The sequence below is a fragment of the Homo sapiens genome, chromosome 7, assembly GCF_000001405.40.
Source record: "Homo sapiens chromosome 7, GRCh38.p14 Primary Assembly".
Lineage (NCBI taxonomy): Eukaryota > Metazoa > Chordata > Mammalia > Primates > Hominidae > Homo > Homo sapiens.
The window spans coordinates 55,507,669-55,529,011 of NC_000007.14; the positions used below are offsets into that span (position 1 = coordinate 55,507,669).

The following is a 21,343-nucleotide window of genomic DNA, read 5'->3' on the forward strand; positions in this document are numbered from 1 at the left end:
AACTCATGGTTCTTTCTTTCCTGTCAACCTCAGTTGGTAATCCACATGATGTCAGAATTGTCCTCCTGGCCTGACATGGTTTCCCTGACGGGCAGGGAGGTGCCTGTGTGTTGAGACGTGTGGTCCCATTTTGATGATGTTTCAACTTTTATTTGGTCAACACATCCCATGGCGAAGTCAAACATCTCTGGGTTCTAAGGAGGGGGCCATCACTGCTTTGATGAGGCCTGAGCCCGAGACGTTGAGGGTGGGAAGATGGCTGCCCTGTCAATCATTCCTTCAGAGACACAGTTATCACCAGAAAATACCTTCTCTGACTTGTATAAACCCAAACTAGTTGCATTCAGGGTGGCATACAGGATTTACCTAGGGAAATTTTACTTGTATTTCTACCATGGGAGAAAGCATTACAAATACTTACTAAAATCACTAATATTAGCAGACCAAATGGGGTAAAAAGTGCTCATTTCTTTGCCATTTTAACCCTTGAGGAGCTGCTGCCTTGGAGCCCAGATGCACCCAGAGTTAAAGTGAAGAGGTGAGGTAAGATGGACCAAGAAGCTCTTAAATTACTGCTGAACTTTGGTAACTACGGAGTTTTTTGTTTTGTTTGTTTTGACACAAGGTCTCACTGTGTCACCCAGGCTGGAGTGCAATGCTGCAATCATAGCTCACTGCAGCCTCAAATTCCTTGGCTTAAGTGATCCCTTCACATCAGCCTCCCAAGTAGCTAAAAATACAGGTGCACACCACCACGCCCAGCTAATTACAAAAATTTTTTCTACAGATGAGGTTTCACTATGTTGCCAGGCTGGTCTCTAACTCCTGGCCATAGTGATCTTCTTGCCTTAGCCCAAAAGTGTTGGGATTACAGGTGTGAGCCACTGCACCTGGCCCAGAGTTTTTGAAACTCCACCTTTGTGTTTCTGGGGTAGAGGTTTTCCCTCTTTCTCCTTTCAGTAAACTGCTGATCATTTAAAATTAGTTCTATTCAAGCCTATCCTGAAAAACAATCCTCCTAGTTTCTGGTTGACTAAATATAAGGTTAAAAAAATAAATTCTGGCCATATGTCTCTTTCAGAAACAGTTATTACCAGAAACCACCTTCTCTGGAAGGTGTTTTTCATTTTCCATACTAAAGTGAAAAACAGAAGTCTGCCTATGAGCTCAGAAGTCTGCCTATGAGTTCATAGTGAGATCCTGTCTCTATAAAAAAATCTTTAAAATTAGCCAGACGTGGTAGCATATGCCTATAGTCCTAGCGACTCAGAGGCTGAGGTGAGAGGATCGCTTGAGTCAAGGGGTTTGAGGCTGCAGTGAGCTAGTACTGCACCACTGTGTTCCAGCCTAGGTGACAGAGCAAGACCCTGTCTCAAATTTATTATCAATTTTAATTTTATAATAAATTTCCTATCATTGAAATCACACAGGCATGATAAATACTAAAGTAATGAGCTGAGTTTGGCAATGAGATCAGGAAGGGAGATGAGATTCTAGTACCTAAAAAATCTGGAAACCTACACTGAGGTTCACACCTGGCTTACTTTCTCAGCTCTATTTTTACTTGAGTTGGTCTTAGTCCATTCAGGCTGTTATAATAAAATACCACAGCTTGGGTAATTTATAAACAACAGAAATTGATTGCTCATAGTTCTGGAGGCTGGGATGCCCAGGATCAAGGCCCAGCAGATTCAGTATCTAGTCAGGGCTCCCTGCTTCATAAATGATGTCTTGCTGCTGTGTCCTCACAGGGCAAAAGAGGGCAGGGGAGCTCCCTGCAACCTCTTTTGTAATCCCATTCACGAGGACAGAGCCCTCATGACTTAAGTCACTTCCCCAAAGGCCCCACCTCTTAATACTAATACATTGGGTGTTAGGTTCCAACATAGGAATTTTGTAAGGACACACATATTCAGACTATAGCAGCTGGTTAGCTGTTATAAGCAAATGCTCAGAACTCTTAAGTCTACATTCCAGCTCTGGACTACATCCTGCCCTCTTCCACCTCTGCTGCAAAAGTGAATTCCTCACTGGCTCCATTTCCTGGGTATTCTGCAAGAACTCCAAACTCCACATGCATATATGACATTCTCTGCTCAGTCTTCTATTGAATCTTTCCCGGAACCTATTCTTTTCATGGTCTCTCTCTGTCTTCCCAACCAGAAACCTCTGATTTATTTGACTCCCTTTACCTCTATATCGACTCTTCTGTGAGATGCTTTTCATGCCCACCGCCTGTTCCTCTGCCCTATTTCTACAGGAGTTGGACTCTGTCTTGCCTTTACTACAAACACAACCTCCTCCCCTTTAGACCAGAGGACCGTGTCGTCATACTGTTCCTAGACCAAAATGAGGGTCAGGCTGCTATTTCTTGTGGCCCAATAATAAGATGCAGATGAACTGGGGAGGAAGAGAATTTTTATTTCTGCAACCAGTTACTGGTAGAAGGCCTGGAAATTATGGCCAGACCAACTCAAAATTACAAAGTTTTCCAGAGCTTATATACCTTCTAAGCTATATGTCTACCTGTAAGTGTGCATCATCTAAAGACATAAGTGATTAACTTCTTTTACATTATAACTAATGTCTGAGTCCTCAAGGCCTTCTTCTGGAGCCTCAGTAAATTCACTTAATCTAAATGGGTCCAGGTGCTGGGGTGATTACCCTTATCTTGTCTCCTACTAAATCACAAGAGGTTTGGGGAGTTCATTCAGACCGCAATAAACTTGTTTGTGGAGGCCTGGGGAGTTTCTTCAGACACCAAATAAAACTTATTTAATCCTAAATGGGTCATGTTAAGAATTCCTTCATTATTTTGTCATGCTTTAAGGCCCAGGAAAGGCCTAGGCAAAACTCCTGGTGGGCTTTTGTTACATCCCAGACTTTATATAAGGGCACTGGCTTTTTTTTTTTTTTTTTTTTAGCTTTTAATATTTAACTTAACCACTCAGTCAGTACTGAAACACTTGTTATGGAGGCCTGTGTTGGTGAGACCTGGCCTGCCACAATGCTGCATGCAGGAGGGAGTCTCAGCCCCTCAGACGGCGTTTGAGACTCTTCTTGCTAGGCTTCTCCCTCTTTTTCCCATCTCATCTCCTGCCATCCACCAGGCACCCTGAACTCCAGCCCCATGGTCCCCACTGCACCCTGCACCTTCATGCTCCCATGCCTGCACTCCTCCCAAAGTCTCTGCTCCACCCCGCTTCAAAGATCAGCCCTGTGAGGTCTCTCCCAACACCATCCCCTGCCCTCCCCAATCTGTCCTGCTCCTCCCTTGGCAGGACCCCCATTTCTACAGTTCTCACCATGTGCAATATTGTGGTTAACTGTTAGAGGCCTCTGTCTTCTACACCAGACATGACCTTGAGAGCAACCCCATCTCATTCCTCTATGCATAGTCCAGGTATCCACCTTGGTTTCAGAACCTTGTAAAGGTTTTGACTTAAACAGAAGGGATGTTGCAGCAGAAAGGGAAATCAGCAAAGATGGAAACAATATGAACTCAAAGCATACAAAGGAAACTGATTAAAATGTTAACACAGTGCTGGCGGGGACAGTTTGAAACAGGTGCTCCCAGGCAATGATAGCCTATTATCATGATGACCCTCAGGGAGAGCAGTCGGACGGTATTTAGTAGAATATAAGTATAAGCTTTGATTCAGCAATTCAATTTCTGCAAATTCACTCCATGTAATACAGCCAGCATTAAAATATATGAAACATCATACCAAACGGAACTTTTAAAGACTATAAATAGCCTCATGTCTGCTCAAATATGTTCTTGCTACCAAGTGAATTATTAAAAATTTGTTTAGGAGCACAGCTTAAAATTTTAGAATGTGAAAGAAAAATATCTTGAATCCCCAAATCACTAAGCTAAAAGGAAAATTCAAGCTGAAACTCCTCAGGGCAAACCTGCCTCCCATTCCATTCAAAGTCATCCTCTGCTCACTGAGATAGATGCATATTCTGATTGCCTCCTTTGGAAAGGCTTATCAGAAACTCAAAAGAATGCAACCACTTGTCCCTCACCTACCTGTGACCTGGAAGCCCTCTCCCTGCTTCCAGTTGTCCCTGCCTTTCCGGATGAACCAATGTACTTCTTACATATATTGATGATATCTCATGTCTGCCTAAAATATATAAAACCAAGCAGTGCCCCAACTGCCTTGGGCACGTGTTGTTAGGACTTCCTGGGGTTGTGACACTGGTGCACATCTTCAACCTTAGTAAAATAAACTTTCTAAATTAACTGACACCCGTCTCAGATTTACTGGGTTTATAAGAATTACAGACAAGGAACTGAGAACCTTCAATAGTTAAACAAAACAAAAACTCCTAAATATAGACACTACCTGTATAAATGAATGATGAGGCATCCCCAGGAAATATTCTGCTACTATCAAAAAGCATGAGGGGCTTTGTATACTGATTTAGAAGCATAGTCACAATGTACAGTTAAAAGGAATCAAGCTCAGCTGGGAGCAGTGGCTCACACCTGTATCGCAGCACTTTGGGAGGCCGAGGCAGGCGGATCACTTGAGGTCAGGAGTTCGAGACCAGCCTGGCCAACATGGTGAAGCCCCATCTCTACTAAAAATACAAAAATTAGCTAGGTGTCGTGGCACGTGCCTGTAATCCCAGCTACCCAGGAGGCTGAGACAGGAGAGTCGCCTGGACCTGGAAGGCGGAGGTTGCAGTGAGCCGAGATCGTGCCACTGCATTCCAGCCTGGGCAAGAGTGAGATTCCGTTTCAAAAAAAAAAGGAAAAGAAAAATAAATCAAGGTCACATTTTAGGGGTCTAAAGTTCTTAAGCAGAAGATCACCAGTGAAAATTTCTCCCTGTTATAGAGACGGTGTCTTCAACTTACACCAGGAATCTTCATTGATAAATCCAACAAGAACTGAGAGAAAAGAAATTCTGCTCTTGAATATCTGCCCCCTCCAGGCTGCAACCCGAAGGCTGTGCTCCATCTCCTGACGGCAAAATAGTGAGGGTCTGCAGCAGGCGTATGGAGCACTCAGCTAGGGAAGCGCCCCCGCCCCCATTGCCCTCTTCCACGCATCCTGGAAGGCCCCAGTGCTGCAGGAGAGCTCAGCGAAGGAGTCCAGCTGACTTCTGCACAGAGGGGCCTCCCCATCAGGCTCAGAGTCTGTCCACAGAGCCATAAAGGGCACCTGCTGGTGAGAGGTGACCTTGTGTCCAGGGAGCCTGGGACTGACTCTGGCACCTGCGCCCCTAGCAGGCAGGTAAAGTGGCCCAGCGGTGCTGGCTCTGCCAACCTTGTCTCTGGATCTTGATTTGACACCTGTGAACAGCACTTCATCCACTCACAGCATTAATTATTCACAGCAGAGAAATGAACCCAGAGGCAGCCAACAACACAGGGTAATATAAGCACTTTAAAAAGAAGCTTCACGCTCCAACAGGAAACTTGGGAATAGGGCCTGAAAGCAGCCTGGTCAAAATCGATAGTGCTGGCAGGAATGGGCTCTGCCTCCTGCTGGATAAGCCCTGGACCCTGGGCTCCTCCAGGACAGGCCCTGCCTCCCTCATCGCTAACTTCCCATCATCCCTACACACTGGCTCCCTCCCACTTGAGTGGTGCTCTGGAAATTACAGGTACTAGGTAAGCCATGACACTGATGATCGTATTCCTTAATTCTGTTTCATGGATCCTATCTTCCCCTTATCCAGCGGTTTGACAACATGCAGCCATCCATTTTTTCCCTTCCATGCTCTCCTTTGAGCTTGGCAGTGTGTGAATTCCCTATCGTCTCAGTGGAGTTGACTTCCGAGAAGCTTCCCCACATTCTTTCCTTCAGTGGTACCTAGATCTGAAGGAAAAACTAAAATAAGTGAGCAAACAGAACACCCAGAACCCAAATGCCCTGCAGCTCTGCCCCATCCATGTGACAGCCAGAGATGTGACCTAGTCATGCAAAAGACCTCTAAAGATGCTGCAGGCCCAGGGAGACTTAGCATCTCCTGGTGTCAGCTGCCAAGTCAGTAAAACTAGATGAGGATGGTCTTAGGGTTTCCCGGCATTCTGAGAATGGAGGTAAGTAAAGAACCACCTTTGGGGCCAAATCTTTTCCTCTTCCCAGCTCTTCAAAGGGCCACAGGGCTATTTTCACTTTTAAATCATTGGTGTCAAGAATACTCAACCATTTCTAACCCACCCTCAATTTTCTGGGGGACAGAGATTCATTTCAATTCACAGTAACAAGAAATTTGCACATCTAAATAGCCAGCTCTCTCTGGCTTATTAAAGTCACATGAAACAGTCATCGTCTGAAGTCTGGGTAACTGTCAGAAAGCACCTGATTATGTCTAAGGAGCCACAAGATCTGGTCCAGTGAAGCCAGGCTCCCAGATCCACCCCAGCGTCTGACTGGGAGCGGCGCCCTTTCTCACATCATCATGTCAGTACCAAGACCTGCAGAAGAAAAAAGACTCACTAGCTTGGAAGGAGAGATGAGGTGGTTGCTTTGTACTTGGCAAGCAGGCTGGACCCTTAATGAGCTAAAATCCATCTCCCATTTGTCGCTTGTCTCTGCTACAACACACATGCCTGCTCAGTCATTCATCTTTTATTTTCTAGGCTATAAATTATTCCCAGCAGCCAGCCAGGGTGTTGTGGAATAAGCGGGATGAGACCCTTGAAGGTGATCTAGCACAGGAAACGGGGGCCCAGAGAGGTTGGACATTTGCCCAAGATCACACTACAACCTGATGGCATAGCAGGTCTAGAGACGATCTCTTGAACTCCAGCCCCTTAAATATTTTCCATCCCCAAAGAATGCTTTCAGAATCACTCCGTCTCCAACCCTCCTTAGGCCACCATTTGTCTCCGTTACTAAAGGTATACTGAGTGCCTTCTATGGGCCAGGCCCTGAAGGGCACAGAAGGTATAAAAATCAGCAAGACAGGCTCCCAGTCTAGGGAGGAGACACACAGATGTTTTATTTCAGCAACAGTAAGTCCAGGGAAGGAGCATGGTACCCATGCACCAAAGAGGGGTATGGGCCACAGAGAGGGACACTCATCCCCAGCTCTCTGGAGATGACACCGCAGAGTGCTTAGGCAAGCACTCCACAAATGTCAGCCATTGCATTCCCAGGCTGTGTATCTGGCAGACTCTGTGTCTCAGCTAGTCTAGGACAACTTGGGGCCATCCTCTGCTCTGTCCTGCTGCAAAGGTAGATGCAAAGAAGTGGGCAGTCTCAGCTGTCCTTGTAGTGAGCTGGGGCCGTGCAGTGCTGCTGGAATGGGTTCTGCCTCCTGCTGGATAAGCCCTGGACCCTGTGTAACACACTTGCACCTCTGTCAGCTGTGGAGGAGCCTCCCGAGGTCTCTGTCCACACCCTGGCATACAGGCACGCCCTGTCACCTCCAGCCTGCTGCTGCCTCCCAAGCCACCGCCCTCTCTCTGCTCTTCCGCACACCCAAGTCCTCTCAGGGGTGGTGGCTGTAAGCTGGGTGGCCTCTGGGGGGCTGAGGAGCACCTGGGCTGGAAATCTCAATGGAGATGGTGACATTTCTTATAGTCACTGCTCCTGACCCAAGAGGCCTCCCACTACCCACAAAGAGGTGGTGGTGTCCATTCAGGCACCGAGGAAGGCCCAGGTAACCTCTGGCAGATATCAAAGATGGGCTGGGAAAGGCTGCCTCCCACAGCGTCCCCAAGAGCATGACTGGCAGCGAGGTGAGTTTGTCCCCTGCAGCAGAGGTCCCCAGGTAAAATCAGCGGACCCATCAGCCACCTCTGGGCACAGAACCCCCGGTCTTCTCCAAGCTCAGTGTTAAAATGTGCCAAAGGAAACTGCAAATATTAGGGAGAATACAGGCATCCCAAATAGTGACTGAGTCCTTACTCTGTATCTCACATGCACAGTAGTATTTATACTGCACAGCAACCCAGTGCAGCAGGCACCACGACCACACCTTTTTTAAGAAAACTGAAGCCGCAGGCTGAATAGCATCTGGAGCTACCTCCTCCCATGCCACTCCACTTCCCCTCTGTGCCACAGGAGCAGCAGGCACAGCCTCTGTGACAGACAGGAGCTCCCTGTCACCTGATGAGGAGGATTCAATGCTCCCTGCAGACACCTGAACATCGGACTGAGTTCCCGCATGTGGACCTGCGTCTAGGCTCTTCTCTGACAAACGCCACCTTAGTCGGCAGCACTTTCTGGACTGACAGGGAAGTGTGCTGTTTGCTGCTTTGGATCCTGCAGGACATGCTCCTCGGTCAGTTCCTACCTTTATCTTCTCATCTCTGGGCTCCAGGAAGCTCACACGGTGGCCCCTGTTTCAGGCCGTGCTGGCAAAGGAGCTGAGGAAGCGAGGCCCAAGCAGAAGCTCAACTCGAGGAGAGAATGCAAGCCAAGGGGCGGGAGCTGCTGAGGCCACACAGCCACTTGCTATTTTTAAATCACATGTTACTAAGAGCAGACACCTAGTAAGCCCTGAACCAAAGCACAGAAAGGCACATTTTAATCAGAGCTCTTGGAAGGGCAGCTTGCAACAGGAAAGGCAGGTAGTGAAGGGAAGTGAAGGGGGAAAGAAACATTACTGGAGGGAACAGGAATGTGTTGCTTTTCTGTTCAGATCCCAAAGGGTCTTTTTCTTCAAAAATAAGAATATCTTGTTTATACATGTAATACACAGTCTTCCAGACCAATAATGGAAAAATATCAAATTAAGGAAATGAAATAAACCTTGAAGCAGGACAGGGTAGAAAGAGAGAGATCATTTAGCACAAAGAAATCAGAAGAGGTGAGAGTAATTTTGTATGTCTAGGTAGCTACAGTAGAAAACCTACATTTCATTAAAAGAGCTCAGTCTCTGTTAGCTTACTAACTGGCACGCTGAAATGAAATGCAGGGACAGGCAGAGTAGGGAGAAGGCGGCTGCCACCTGGGATTTCCGGTGAGACAAAATGAAATCAGATTATCAAATATAGGAGTAAAATCTCTACAACAAGTTTGCAACCTAGATGTTCCCTCCTCAATGCATTCCGCATGGTGAGTTACACTCACAAAACAGAGGTGTTGTTTGAAATATATTTTCTGCAGGGGAAGGAAAGAAAACAACCTCTAACAAAATAGGACACCACCTTGAGTCAACATATTTGTAAGGAATATCTGTTTTGGAGAATCTTAGCACTTTACCCAGGTGAAATGAAATGTAGAATATACTAGAAATGTACTTTTTAGATGAGATCCATTACATATATATATATATATATATATATATATTTTTTTTTTTTTTTTTTTTTTTTTTTTTTTGAGACGGAGTCTCACTGTGTAGCCCAAGCTGGAGTACAGTGGTGTGGCTCACTGCAACCTCTGTCTCTGGGGCTCAAGCGATTCTCATGCCTCAGCCTCCCAAGTAGCTGGGACTACAGGCTTGTGCTACCATGTCCAGCTAATATATATATATTTTTTTATTTTAGTAGAGACGGGGTTTCACCATGTTGCCCAGGGTGGTCTCGAACTCCTGAGCTCAGGAGATCAGCCCGACTCGGCCTCCCAGAGTGCTGGGATTACCAGCATGAGCAACCGTGCCCGGCCTAATTTAAGTTTTTTTTTAATGTGATGTTGAAGATGCTTCAGAAATGACTAGTCACTCTCACATGACTATACCACTGCTGCATGAGGCATAGGTACCTTCCCTGTCCTGCACACCACAACGCACCACAACTGACACGTCGTGGGCCCTCCACAGACACCTGTGGATGGAATGAATGAAGTGCAGCCATCACCATCCCCGGGACAGCACCCTGCACACTGGCCATGTGTCCAGAGGCCAGGCCGGCAGCAGTGTGCAATGGCAGCCCGCCAGCCTCTCCTGCATCCCCACCGCCTGAGGCCCCCAGCAGCAGGGCGAGCTGGGCTGGATGTGAGTCTCCTGTACCTGCACTGCCTTCTCCACCAAGGCAGCAGAAACCACAGTGGGCTTCAGAGATCAAAAATAACGTACCCCTCAAGGTTAACTCTAGGGCAGCTGTGCCTCCTGCAGGTCAAGCACTTCCAGTAGGGGTGTAGCCGCCGTCTCTTGCTTGCAGCAGACCTCTCCTTGAGCAAGACTGGATGGAGTAGAATATAGCTAAGCAATTTCTACTCATTCCCCTTTAAGAAAAATGCTTCATGACCCCAACTTGATGGACAGTGGAGAAGACAGCTTTGGAGAAGACAGTTTTTGAGTATTAAATATCTGGACCGGTGAGGGTATTGGACAAGCCACCCCATGTGTGCTGGCTGGCCCCAAAAAAACAACTTTCTCCTTGGCACCACACTGGGTTCACTGCTGTGTCAGGACACTGTCGTCCCTCGCATGTGCAGGGAAGTGGCACACTGAGTCTATAGCACTAATCTCATGAGCATATGTAACAGAGAGGTGAGCTGGCCTTGGGTAGGTTATGTTCTTATGGGACTTCTGCACTGGCCGTGTGCAAGTCCTGTGCCTCAAACCTGGCAGGTCAGAATTCGCAGTCACGTCTTACAGAGGAAGCAGCTGACAATGTCACAGAGCTGGTAAACAACAGAGTGGAGGGATGGGAAGGCTGGTGCTAGGCAGAGGTGGGGACCGCACATGCAGGGAAAGTGCTTCATGCTACTGCACGGGTCACTTTAAAACGGTTAATTCTGTTCTTTGAATTTCACCTCAATTAAATAAAAAAGTAACAGAGCAAATATGTGAACTCTGCACGAACATGATTGCAAACATCAGGTGCTACACACTGGGCCAGGCAGCAGGGTTATGGAATGCACAGGCCACGGCCCCATACTGAAGCACTCGCCGCGTGGTGGTTTGCTGGTGTTGTCAGCATTCTCTCACAGCCAAAACAGCAGGGGAGGAACAAACTTTTATGGGGACAGGGAACTGAGTCAGAAGAGGCTGAGAGAACTGGGGAATGATCAAAGGTCCCCTACATGGGTTGGCGCTGCTGACTGCATGGTGGGAACTGCAAGGAAATGCATCCACTCAACATCAAGGATGGCCGCTGTGTGCCAGGCACTATCCTACGCTTGTTGGGAAGCCAAGTATTTATAACTTGTTGCCCTCATGAGATTCACAATAAAGAAGGAAGATAAAGCCAGACGCTCTCTTGAAAGTCTACTGTTAAAAGGCATTGTTCCTGATGGTTTTAAGCAAAAAAGTGACATGGAAATTTACAAAGACGTGAGAACTGGACAGGAGAAGAGGCTGAAAGGAGACTAGCTAGAAAGTTTCGGCAATGGTTCAGAGGGACATTCACAGATGTGGATTCGGGTGAGGACACTGGGAACAGAGGGGAGAAACAGAAAGACCAGAGGCAGAACAGAGAAGACTAGTGGGTGGGGCTGGGGTTTCCTGGCATCATGAGATCCGAAGACCTTAATTTACGTACAGGGCACAGGACAATGCCGGGGCCTGGAGTAAGTACTCAATAACTGTTACCTGCTGGTACTCTCACGCTGAACTTCGTGTTCTCATGGTGACTTCACTTTTCCATTTTTCTGGACAGTGCACCTAGGGAGCTCTGGATCCTTCTCCCCACCATTGGAAGAGAAAAGCGCGAAAGGAAACTGGGCCACAGGACTGAGTGACAAAAGCAGGGCTTGTCTTTTGTATCCCCTGTCTCCAGTTCAATGCAATGCAAAACACTTTCAAAATATGCAGGGAACAAGTGAATGGATAAAGAACAAATGAACAAGTCAATACAAGAACAGCAATGACCTCTGACGCCCAAGCTCTGACAAAGCTGATCTATAAAACAATTGGAGAAATAGGGTTTTAAGGAAGAGCACACAGGAGGAGGCGAAAGGTCCACATTTGCGCAAAAAGCTAAACAAGGAAATAGGCGTACTGATGAAAATTCATTATGCTGAGAAGAACCAAAATATTTTCTCTTCCTGTTATCCCACAACCACTTCTCTTCAACCTGACAACTCTGTAATTAGAGCCCAAGTCCTTATGCTGCTGTTTTATTTTCCAAGTGGGGTCTGTCTTTCTGCAGCTGCAGAGGCTTCCTTCCAGGGCCCCCACGCCATGGGGCACACTGACTCCTGCTTGTCAGTATGAAACCAAGATGACGAACATGGCCAGCTTCCGTGTGCTTTACCCGCACTCACAGATACACAGCCCTTCCCTCCTACACTGGGCTCCTCAAGAATGACAGGTAAGAGGCTGGGCGAGGTGACTCACGCCTCTAATCCCAGCACTTTGGGAGGCCAAGGCAGGCAGATTGCTTGAGGATAGGAGTTCGAGACCAGCCTGGCCAACATGGTGAAACCCCATATCTACTAGAAATAGAAAAATTAGCTGGGCGTGGTGGCACACGCCTGTAATCTCAGCTACTAGGGAGGCTGAGGCACAAGAATTGCTTGAACTCAGGAGGCAGGGACTGCAGTGAGCCGAGATTGCACCACTGCACTCCAGCCTGGTGATACAGCAGGACTCCACCTCAAATAATAATAATAATAATGACAGGTAAGAAAAATGTATGTTCTGGCAGATTAAAAAAATAACGCGTTTTCCTATTATTATATATCTCCTATCCAATTACCCTATATGCTAGAATATATAGTGTTTCTGCTAGACTACAATATATATGCCTGAGGAATCTCAGGTTTTACAAAATTCAATACTAAAAATAATAGAGCTTTCGGGAAAATTTGGTTAGGGCATTCGACTCAATACCTAAGGAACTTCAAAACAGAATCAAAAACAGTGACTGATAACCTGGAGAGTTAATGTGGTCACTGAGGCAGGTGGCTCCACAGGGCTGGTGGCTACCACAGCAGATATTACAAACACACGAAAACGACAGGAAGAAAATGCAGCAATGCCCTCATTACAGAAAGACTGGCAGACACTGAGGGGGCACTGGAAGGATTATAACCCATTCTGAGCCAAGAGCCATGAGAGGCTGTGACAGCAGCTCTCTGGCGAGGAGGCCTCAGAGACAGGCGATCATTGTGATTTCCTACACATACGCACAGACACACACACACTGTCACAGTGGCTCCGCTGAGGACTGTTTCTTGTCCTGCTCAAGCTCATAAGTCTGCTCCTATGATCCTTTCTCTCTTTGACTAGGAAAATGTGTATAAGCCAACATAACTTTTGCCTTCCACAGACATCTCGCCCCCTTTAAACCCTCACATGTGAGCTCACCTGCATCACAGAACAGGGCACAGAATTTCAGGCTGTCCTCAACGTAACTGGTCTGAGTGGGCCAGACACCACGGTGAGGTCACCTGCTCATCCCCCAGTGAGGCAAGCCTGGCACCGCAGCAGAGGCTGGGCCACGCCGGGCTTTCCCCATCCCACACCCAGAACTTTAGCAAGACAATTCCCAGAGAAAGGTATGGCCACAGAATGAAACCACAGAAAGGTGCAAATACTTACATATAATAGGTTGGATAGAGTCCTTCGAAATACCAGCAATGCTTTTTGGCTTCTGTGCACTGCAAATAGAAGCAAGAAAAAGTTTGTCAGTACTCAGGAATCTGCATGTTGTTGAGAAGCTCTCACAAAGGCAGAAAGAAGGATGAGAAGACACAGCTTAACCCATGAAAAGCTGGGATATCGGGGCAGACAATGCATTACAGGGAGAGCCGCCCCCTTTCTCATGACTTTCTATTTCTTTAAAACATCTATTTTTCTATTTTTTCATAGCCTTTCATATCTCTATATACACTGAGTGTCAGCATTTTATTAAAAAGGTAAATTAAAGACAATCCACTGTTTAAAATGTACTTGGTATGATACTTCAGATTACAAAAGAATGCTAGAAATAAAGCACTGCAAAGATTGCCACTGCCCCCCAATTTCTGTTTTAGAGAGACATCTCCAATAGATTTAGCATTTCTAGAGCTGTATATTTCAGAATATGCTAAAGCCGCATTCCGACCTACGTCTGCAAGATGCTGCGAGTCACGGTTCACTCGTTGCCCTCTCACGTGCAGGAAGAGAAAGAAGGAACAAGGAAAGACAATGGGAGCCTCTCCTGGGCTTTCCAGGTAAGTCCAGCTCCTAACATCCCGGAGGCAGGGCCCAGCCCCACAGGGCAGGGCAGGGCAGGGCAGGGCAGGGTGGGTGAGTGCACACAGGCATCGGAGCAGGGGCCAGATGCCACCTGGAGGCTCTCACAAACCTCCAGCAAGTGAGGCAGGCCAGCATCCCCACTGCTCAGGGAGCTCTCTATGCAGAGATGCTCTTCCCATCTGAACAAGGCTTTTCTAAAATTATTCCATTCGTGCTGTCATTTTTGTTTTACATTCACAACGTCCTACTTCCATGATCTAGTTTATTGGCCCCCATGTGTAAATAAAACCTTCAAAACATTATGGTGCAAAGCTCCCAGCAGCAGGAACACTGGCAAAGGGACGGCAAACAAAGCTTTCTTTGGGTGAGGCAGGGCCGTCCTGCCCAAAGCCCCTCCTCCGGTGGGAGGGTGGCTGGATCAGCTCCCTCCTAGCCTGTCCGCAGCCCCAGCAGGTGTACAGCAATGCCCTCCTGCCACGATTGCCCTGCAGCTGGAATGGAGTTAGAGACAGGCCCCACATCTACAGTGGCATGCCATGGGAGAGGTGAGTGCCAACGTCACGCCAGTGACATTCGATGGGTTATGAAAATGACATGAACCCCTGGATTTTGGAGAATGTGCTTTAAGACACTCAGAAGCATACTCAGGCAGCCTGGAGTGACCTAGTTTTATTAACGGAAAATGAGTTTTATTTAGACTAGGTTAGCTCCTGTCCAGTTTAAGAAATGAAGCTCAGACAGCTGACGAAATCAATTTATTTTGGCACAGAAGAGCAATTTCAGGTCTCTGCCCCAAATTATAATTCATTTCACTAGAGTCTTCTGTGATAAACAGAGAAACCAGGTCTGCCTTCCATGTGTCACTTTAAACAGGTCTCCCTTATTCTCCATCACCGCCACCGACAGCCAAACATTCCTGGAACCTGACACTTAAGTTCCACACAATCAAGAGGTGAGGCCAGGGAACATCAGAACACAAGCCTGAAGCTCCCCACCTGCCTGGGGCCTGGCTGCTCCAGGGCTGCTCCGCAGAGACAGGCCACAGCCACGCAGCGAGAGCCAGGTGCAAAGGGCTGGCACTGGAAATAAGGACAGGCTCTGGCCTCCATAGCGCCCTTTTCTGCAATTCCTCTTGGTCTAAAGCATTCCCAGATCCAAAGCAGCCACTTGATACTCTGGCAGCACATCTCCATCACTAATGCACTGCATTTCAGAAAGGACTTTTTCTTCCAATCAGACAAAATAATGCCACACTTCTGAATGAACATTGTCTCTGGGATACAGGTATATGAGGAATACCACTTCACAAATTAAGGCACCAGGGCCCTTGGTGGGTGTCTTCTTCTGGGTCACACAGCTTCTTTGTGGTGGCAAAACAGAGAGCCCCCAGCACAGTGTCTTCTGGACTCACGAGAGCTCCCCTGAGGAACCCACTCTGCCCACCTCCAGCAAGAACAAAGGCCTCTGAAAACTGGTGTGAGATGATCCCCAAGATACAGTGTTAGTGAAAAAGCATAGGCAAAAACAAAAACATACGTCCAGTATGCCATCCTTGATGCAAAAGGAAACGTGTACATTTGGCCTGCTTTACACAAAAAGAATCACAGTTTGCACACATCAAAACATCACAGGTATCCCATAAATATGTACAATTATTACATACCAATACATTTTTTTTTCCAAAAAAAAAATCACAGGAAGGACAGAGTATGTGAAAGTTGATCATAAGAACTGGGTCATTCTTGTCATACCCAACTAACAGAGTCGAGGCCAGAGGGGCAAAGCACTCAGGTCATTCTCGGCAAGCCTGGCTGCTGAAACTGCCTGCCCTGACTCTCAGACTAGCTTACCCAGCCCCATCACATACCAGTGAGAGCTTGCACACCAATGAGAGCTTGCCAGCTCCCCAAAACTTTACTTAGTGCCAATGAACAACTCTCTTTCAAAACAATCCCTTACATTTCTCCTTTTTATAAAACTTCCAAACTTCTCTTTGTTCTTCACACATACTGAAGACCACCCAGTACATGGCCCAGACTGCAATGCTCACTTCCTAAACAAAATGTTTTAAATTTAGAGATCTGTCTCTGTAAAAGCTAATGAAAATGCTTACCCGTGGAGGGTGGGTGGGGTGAAGTGGAAAAGACAAGGACAAGAGCAAAATTCTTCTGAGTATATCTTTTTATGTAGTTTGACTTTTGAAATGTTTTTTCAGATAATAAAGTAGAAAGTATTTTTTAAAACCACTTCTCAGACTGAAAAGATTATAAAAGACTATCATGACATGATCACACATGTCCCCTTTAGGCCAGGGGCAACTAAGCAGGGTAGATGCCTGTGAGGTCAGTGCTCACAGGAGACTCACACAGACACTCACTCTTCTGGGAGCCCTTCCTGGGGCCCTCCCAGGTGAAGGGCACCATTTCCATCCTACTCTTCTTCCCGCATTTTTCTGGCATATTCCCTAACTTCAGAGCTGCCTACTTGTTGGTTACCCTTGCTCAGTTACTTGCTAATAACCTTTTATCATTTCTCACTAAGCTACCCAAATGAATCATATTTTGAAAAATTTAACCCGTTTGTTCCTTTACAAAAACTATTCTTAAGAAAATATTAAGGCTACATTTCTTGAAACAGAAAGCACCTTTAAACAGAGTTACCTTGCATTAAAGTGTAGCTCCATTTTGTTGCTGCTGAAATTAGTGTGTTTGAAATTTGCTAATATCCTGGAAACTGCTTCACTGTTTTTGGTAGCTGGACTTTTGTAGCAGCTTTCTCCTGAGGAATGCCAACATCGTAATACTACACACATGTACTAACTCACTACAGTTAATGCATGGCATGATTCCATTTGACAGCCAGATAATATGAAGAATGCAAAGTCACAGGTCTCATTATTCAACTGAAAAACGCCAAAATGAGGACACAGAAGTCCTGATAATTGTTGTTGTTGAGGCTTTCCTTCAATAAATGCTTGCTAACTGAACACCAGGTGTCAGAGTCAGCTTGCCCAATTGAGGAGGACGCAGCCTCGTGATGGGAATGGAGACCAGGAGGTGGAGAGGCACACGCCTGCCTGAGGAGCCCAGGGTTGAGAGCCGGGTGCTGCCAAGTCGAAGTCTGATGAGAAAGGCAGTCTCTGCCTACCAAGTCCAAGCTCCAAATCCAGCACCAGCACCAGGACTCAGGACAAAGCCAGACAGCTAGAGCTGTGGTCAAAGGGGAGTTTGCCAGGGACAAATAAGAGGGATCTTCAGAGTACTCCCAATCACCAGCAGGCACGCAGATATGGCCTCACAAGCAAGCGGGAAGAGGCAGAAAGAAGGCCCCGTGCTGGGTCACGTGGAAGCACCAGAGTCGACGGGCAAAGGGGAACCCACAGGGAAAGGAGGAGCCAAAGAACCAGAGCTCTGTGTTCTGACCCTGACTGCAACCTGCCAGCCACACCGCCAGCCAGTCTGGGTCTCACTCTCCTCGTTTGTAAGAGTACAGACTCTCGGCCGGGCGCGGTGGCTCAAGCCTGTAATCCCAGCACTTTGGGAGGCCGAGGTGGGTGGATCACGAGTCAGGAGATCGAGACTATCCTGCCTAACACAGTGAAACCCGTCTGTACTAAAAGTACAAAAAAATTAGCCGGGCGTGGTGGTGGGCGCCTGTAGTCCCAGCTACTCAGGAGACTGAGTCAGGAGAATGGCGTGAACTCGGGAGGCGGAGCTTGCAGTGAGCCGAGATTGCGCCACTGAACTCCAGCCTGGGCGACAGAGCGAGACTCCGTCTCCAAAAAAAAAAAAAAAGAGTACAGACTCTCTTCCCTGCTTTATGAAGAAAATGAGATTGCATCAAAATGCCTGGCCAAACTAGGGCATCGTTTCCTGATCCCACACCAGCTAGCACCTCTGTCCCTAATTGTGTCTTCTCTGGAACAAACAACTTCCAAGGTTCATCTTACGTGGTACTCGATCATCTAGGCAGAAGCAATGCTACCAAACCTCTCGAGAACAAAGGTTCTAAATATGTAATCCTTACATGTGTACGGTATTTAGTTTTCCAAAATCTCCCTAAAAGGAAAAAACCTCTCTAAAAAAAAAAAAAAAAAAAAAAAAAAACCTTAAAATGTATGGAAACTAAGGGGGAAAAAAGTGAATTTCCAGGTTTTATGCCCACTCTGAAAAGTCAGTCTACCCACATTTTGCGAAGATACTACTACCATGATTTCTTAAGGATCAACCATCTCTGGAAACAGAAATTATGTGTGTGAGGAGAGGTCAACTGCTTTCTGTTACCTAGCAGGCATCCTCAGTTTTCAGGATGTTGTCCTGGGCTCTGGGAAAACAGCAGCCCTGCATGAGCACCTGTGGGATATTCCCTCTGTGTGCAGAGCAGAGACAATACGCAGAGCCACATGCTTCTTGAAGAGCTCATGAAAACAGTAACATACAACTTACAAACTATGAACACGGCAGAGGGTGTGGGCTCACAAGGAAACCTTCAGGAGCAACTCCCTTGAGGGGATCAACAGTTCACACTGGAGAGGCCTGAAAGACGTCTCTGCTCAAGGAGGACTCTGGACGCCCGTGGTTCAAGGACTAGGGTATCTATATATGTAGTTAAGCCATCCCAAATATAGTTATCCCTATTTAGGCAGGATCTAAATAAGCCCCAGAGAATAAACCCTTGCTGATCTCCACTAGTAATCCTCATAGTGACATAAATTACTCCTCCATGTGCGCTGAGTGAGGAAGGACGCAGGACAACACTGATGTTGAGTGCTTCTCCCTTTTCTATCCCAGGCTAAAACAGAGCCGCACCACAGGCAGGCACAGCTGACTTGGCAGGAACTGAAGCTCGTGACTCTGGGACATGAGGGAGTGGACAGCAGGGTCAAGGATCCAAAACAACATGGATTTTACCTAAATTCCACCTGTTCTGCTTTTCTTAAGTTCAGGGGATAAGGTGAGATCTTTAGATAAATAGCAGACAAACTTGCAAACCAGCAGCTCACTGACAGGACTTGTCTCACTGACCTCTGGAAAGTAAGGATCCTTATGTTACTTATCACGGCAACGGCTTTGGCCAACAGTCTGTCCCGGGCCAGAAGTCCAGGGTTTGCTTCAGGATGGTGGGACGGCCCCAAAGAAGATCAGCCCAAGGACTCCATCTTTTTCAAAAGGGAGGGGCCCCCTGCTGTGCCTCACACTGCTTCTGCATTCATCAAAAGCAGAACTTGACACACAGGCAATGAGATCCCAGCTGCTTTCAGCTTGAGCCCAATTAGAGTGGGCTCGTTACACTCCGCACAGGCTGAGAACAAAGGGAGCCTCATGGGTGCTGGCAGGCTTGATGCTCAGGACCAGGGACAGAAGCAGAGGGCAGGGGGTAGCCTGCTCAATGCAGAGAGAAAATCTATGCAGGGAATGACAAGCAATTATCTCAAGGTCTCTGAATTTCAATTAATAAATAGGACCGACCATGCTTTAAATTCCTGTACTGGAATTTCAATCAGTTCCCTAAATGCTAATTACTTAATCCCCAGGTTTATGGACATTTTGTTTCTCAGGAATGTCTTATCTCCAAGAAACCTTGATTTTTTTAGAGATGAGAGTATGAGGCTTCTCACAAGCACCATTTCTTAGAGGGAAGAAAGCAGATAAACCCTTAAGAAAATAACAGAAATAAAAGATACCCCTGTCTTATAGAAGAAACCACACCTGAAATTCACACACAGCCAGCAAATAACGATCAGAGATGAGATCCGGGGATGCAGGCTGTAAACCTTAAACGAAGCCCAACCACAGATCCCCAGGGAAATTCTGTCAACTCTCCTAGACTCTGAACAGCTGGTCTGCTTTACCTGCTTTCGTGTTCAGCAGAAGGACAGGGGAGGAGACCTCCTCATGGACCCTCATTCCAGTAGGTAAAAAGCCTCATCCCCAGCAGGTGACAATTAATCAGTAACCAAACTTAAAAGGTAGAAGCAGAGGAAACTACCCAAATAGGGCTGATATCTTTATCAATAAAGACTTACATGATTCAATGAGAAAAAGAAAAATTCCAACAGGAAAAATAAAGTGATAGATATGAGAATTTTTCAAAGAAACACAAAAGGCCAATAAACCTATTTTAAGAGACAATATTCATTAATAACCAAATATAAATTACAATAGTATGGTTTTTAACCCATCAAATTAGTAATAAAAAAATCCCAGAGTACCCTTTGCAGACAAGAGCATAAGGGAAAAAAAAAATCACATAATTGTTGGGAAAATAAAATGCCTCAAGAAGACAATTTTTCAATATATATCAAAAATCTTTAAAATGTATGTAATTTCAGCAAGTTTAAACAATTGAGAACAAATGTTATTTAAAAAACTAGAAATAACCAACATTTTCAAAATGGGTTTTGCTAACAAAATTATAAGACATCCAAAAGATGTATTTGTAGGTATTTACTATCAGAATGTAGACAAACATAATGAGGAATATTTTGCTAAGAAAAAAAGGTCAATAAAATAGTACATCTAGAATTGTATTTTTTGTTATACATTATAGGAAACAGAAAATAATATGGAAAGCCATGTACCGAAATACTGACAACTAATTATGTTTCAGTTGGTACTAGAGATGATTGTTTTCCACTATACATTTTGTTAGTCTCCAAGTTTCCTGTATGGAACCTGTACATTTTATTTTTAAATCTCTATTCAATTTTACTTTAAAATGCAGACCACTTAGTACCCAAAAAAGAAGTGAAAACTGGATATGAAAAGATATTTAAACCAGCCTGGTCAACATGGTAAAACCCCATCTGTACTAAAAATACAAAAATTAGCTGGGCGTGGTGGCGCATGCCTGTAATCCCAGCTACTCGGGAGGCTGAGGCAGGAAAAATCACTTGAACCCGGGAGGCGGAGGTTGCAGTGAGCTGAGATCGCACTACTGCACTCCGGCCTGGGCAACAGAGCAAGCTCTGTCTCAAAAAAAAAAAAGAAAAATATTTAAAATAAGAAAATATAACTGTTAACAAGAAAGAACATTCTCCAGCTAGGAATGAAATAAAAATAATAAAGTTTGTGAAATAATATACAAGGCTAGAAAGGGTGTACTCAAACAAATACAGAGTCAGCAATTAAAGCTGTATTCATAGAAAGTTTATCATGGAAAATGTTTATGTCATAGTTAATTTAAGACACATTATATATATTTAATTTCAACAATGTAAAAATAAACATATTCATAGGAGAAAGAATGTAACAGCATAAGCCTAAATTCACAGTGTTATATTTGGATGGTGTGATTTCTTT

At 45.8% G+C, this 21,343-nt stretch overlaps 1 protein-coding gene across 17 annotated transcripts in view, besides 13 other annotated features; it reads right to left on the reverse strand.

Moving 5' to 3' along the window:
• The window catches only part of VOPP1 (VOPP1 WW domain binding protein), a 137,539-nt gene that overhangs the window by 72,705 nt on the left and 43,491 nt on the right, over positions 1-21,343 (reverse strand). For 16 of the 17 annotated variants that reach the window (XM_011515539.2, XM_011515546.3, XM_011515540.3 and 13 more), the window contains one exon: positions 13,404-13,462. In XM_011515539.2, coding sequence (XP_011513841.1) covers positions 13,404-13,462 — 59 coding nt within the window. Of the gene's footprint in view, positions 1-13,403; positions 13,463-19,066; positions 19,213-21,343 lie in introns of those variants that run through there. The other variant, NM_001321251.1, reaches the window with a different exon arrangement.
• Positions 3,390-3,439: an enhancer, noted in NCBI's record as "active region_26017". NCBI's record gives its function as "activates an Ori minimal core promoter by ATAC-STARR-seq in GM12878 lymphoblastoid cells {active_cell/tissue: GM12878}" and the evidence as "EXISTENCE:reporter gene assay evidence [ECO:0000049][PMID:35858748]".
• Positions 4,103-4,252: an enhancer, noted in NCBI's record as "active region_26018". NCBI's record gives its function as "activates an Ori minimal core promoter by ATAC-STARR-seq in GM12878 lymphoblastoid cells {active_cell/tissue: GM12878}" and the evidence as "EXISTENCE:reporter gene assay evidence [ECO:0000049][PMID:35858748]".
• Positions 4,594-5,115: an enhancer, noted in NCBI's record as "H3K4me1 hESC enhancer chr7:55579955-55580476 (GRCh37/hg19 assembly coordinates)". NCBI's record gives its function as "activates a minimal SCP1, AML or CMV promoter by ChIP-STARR-seq in naive H9 embryonic stem cells {active_cell/tissue: H9 hESC(naive)}" and the evidence as "EXISTENCE:reporter gene assay evidence [ECO:0000049][PMID:30033119]".
• Positions 5,116-5,637: an enhancer, noted in NCBI's record as "H3K4me1 hESC enhancer chr7:55580477-55580998 (GRCh37/hg19 assembly coordinates)". NCBI's record gives its function as "activates a minimal SCP1, AML or CMV promoter by ChIP-STARR-seq in naive H9 embryonic stem cells {active_cell/tissue: H9 hESC(naive)}" and the evidence as "EXISTENCE:reporter gene assay evidence [ECO:0000049][PMID:30033119]".
• Positions 7,853-7,922: an enhancer, noted in NCBI's record as "active region_26019". NCBI's record gives its function as "activates an Ori minimal core promoter by ATAC-STARR-seq in GM12878 lymphoblastoid cells {active_cell/tissue: GM12878}" and the evidence as "EXISTENCE:reporter gene assay evidence [ECO:0000049][PMID:35858748]".
• Positions 8,093-8,142: an enhancer, noted in NCBI's record as "active region_26020". NCBI's record gives its function as "activates an Ori minimal core promoter by ATAC-STARR-seq in GM12878 lymphoblastoid cells {active_cell/tissue: GM12878}" and the evidence as "EXISTENCE:reporter gene assay evidence [ECO:0000049][PMID:35858748]".
• Positions 8,153-8,312: an enhancer, noted in NCBI's record as "active region_26021". NCBI's record gives its function as "activates an Ori minimal core promoter by ATAC-STARR-seq in GM12878 lymphoblastoid cells {active_cell/tissue: GM12878}" and the evidence as "EXISTENCE:reporter gene assay evidence [ECO:0000049][PMID:35858748]".
• Positions 9,324-9,829: an enhancer, noted in NCBI's record as "H3K4me1 hESC enhancer chr7:55584685-55585190 (GRCh37/hg19 assembly coordinates)". NCBI's record gives its function as "activates a minimal SCP1, AML or CMV promoter by ChIP-STARR-seq in primed H9 embryonic stem cells {active_cell/tissue: H9 hESC(primed)}" and the evidence as "EXISTENCE:reporter gene assay evidence [ECO:0000049][PMID:30033119]".
• Positions 9,324-9,971: a biological region, named in NCBI's record as "H3K4me1 hESC enhancer GRCh37_chr7:55584685-55585190".
• Positions 9,402-9,471: an enhancer, noted in NCBI's record as "active region_26022". NCBI's record gives its function as "activates an Ori minimal core promoter by ATAC-STARR-seq in GM12878 lymphoblastoid cells {active_cell/tissue: GM12878}" and the evidence as "EXISTENCE:reporter gene assay evidence [ECO:0000049][PMID:35858748]".
• Positions 9,492-9,971: an enhancer, noted in NCBI's record as "active region_26023". NCBI's record gives its function as "activates an Ori minimal core promoter by ATAC-STARR-seq in GM12878 lymphoblastoid cells {active_cell/tissue: GM12878}" and the evidence as "EXISTENCE:reporter gene assay evidence [ECO:0000049][PMID:35858748]".
• Positions 10,042-10,291: an enhancer, noted in NCBI's record as "active region_26024". NCBI's record gives its function as "activates an Ori minimal core promoter by ATAC-STARR-seq in GM12878 lymphoblastoid cells {active_cell/tissue: GM12878}" and the evidence as "EXISTENCE:reporter gene assay evidence [ECO:0000049][PMID:35858748]".
• Positions 16,986-17,487: an enhancer, noted in NCBI's record as "H3K4me1 hESC enhancer chr7:55592347-55592848 (GRCh37/hg19 assembly coordinates)". NCBI's record gives its function as "activates a minimal SCP1, AML or CMV promoter by ChIP-STARR-seq in primed H9 embryonic stem cells {active_cell/tissue: H9 hESC(primed)}" and the evidence as "EXISTENCE:reporter gene assay evidence [ECO:0000049][PMID:30033119]".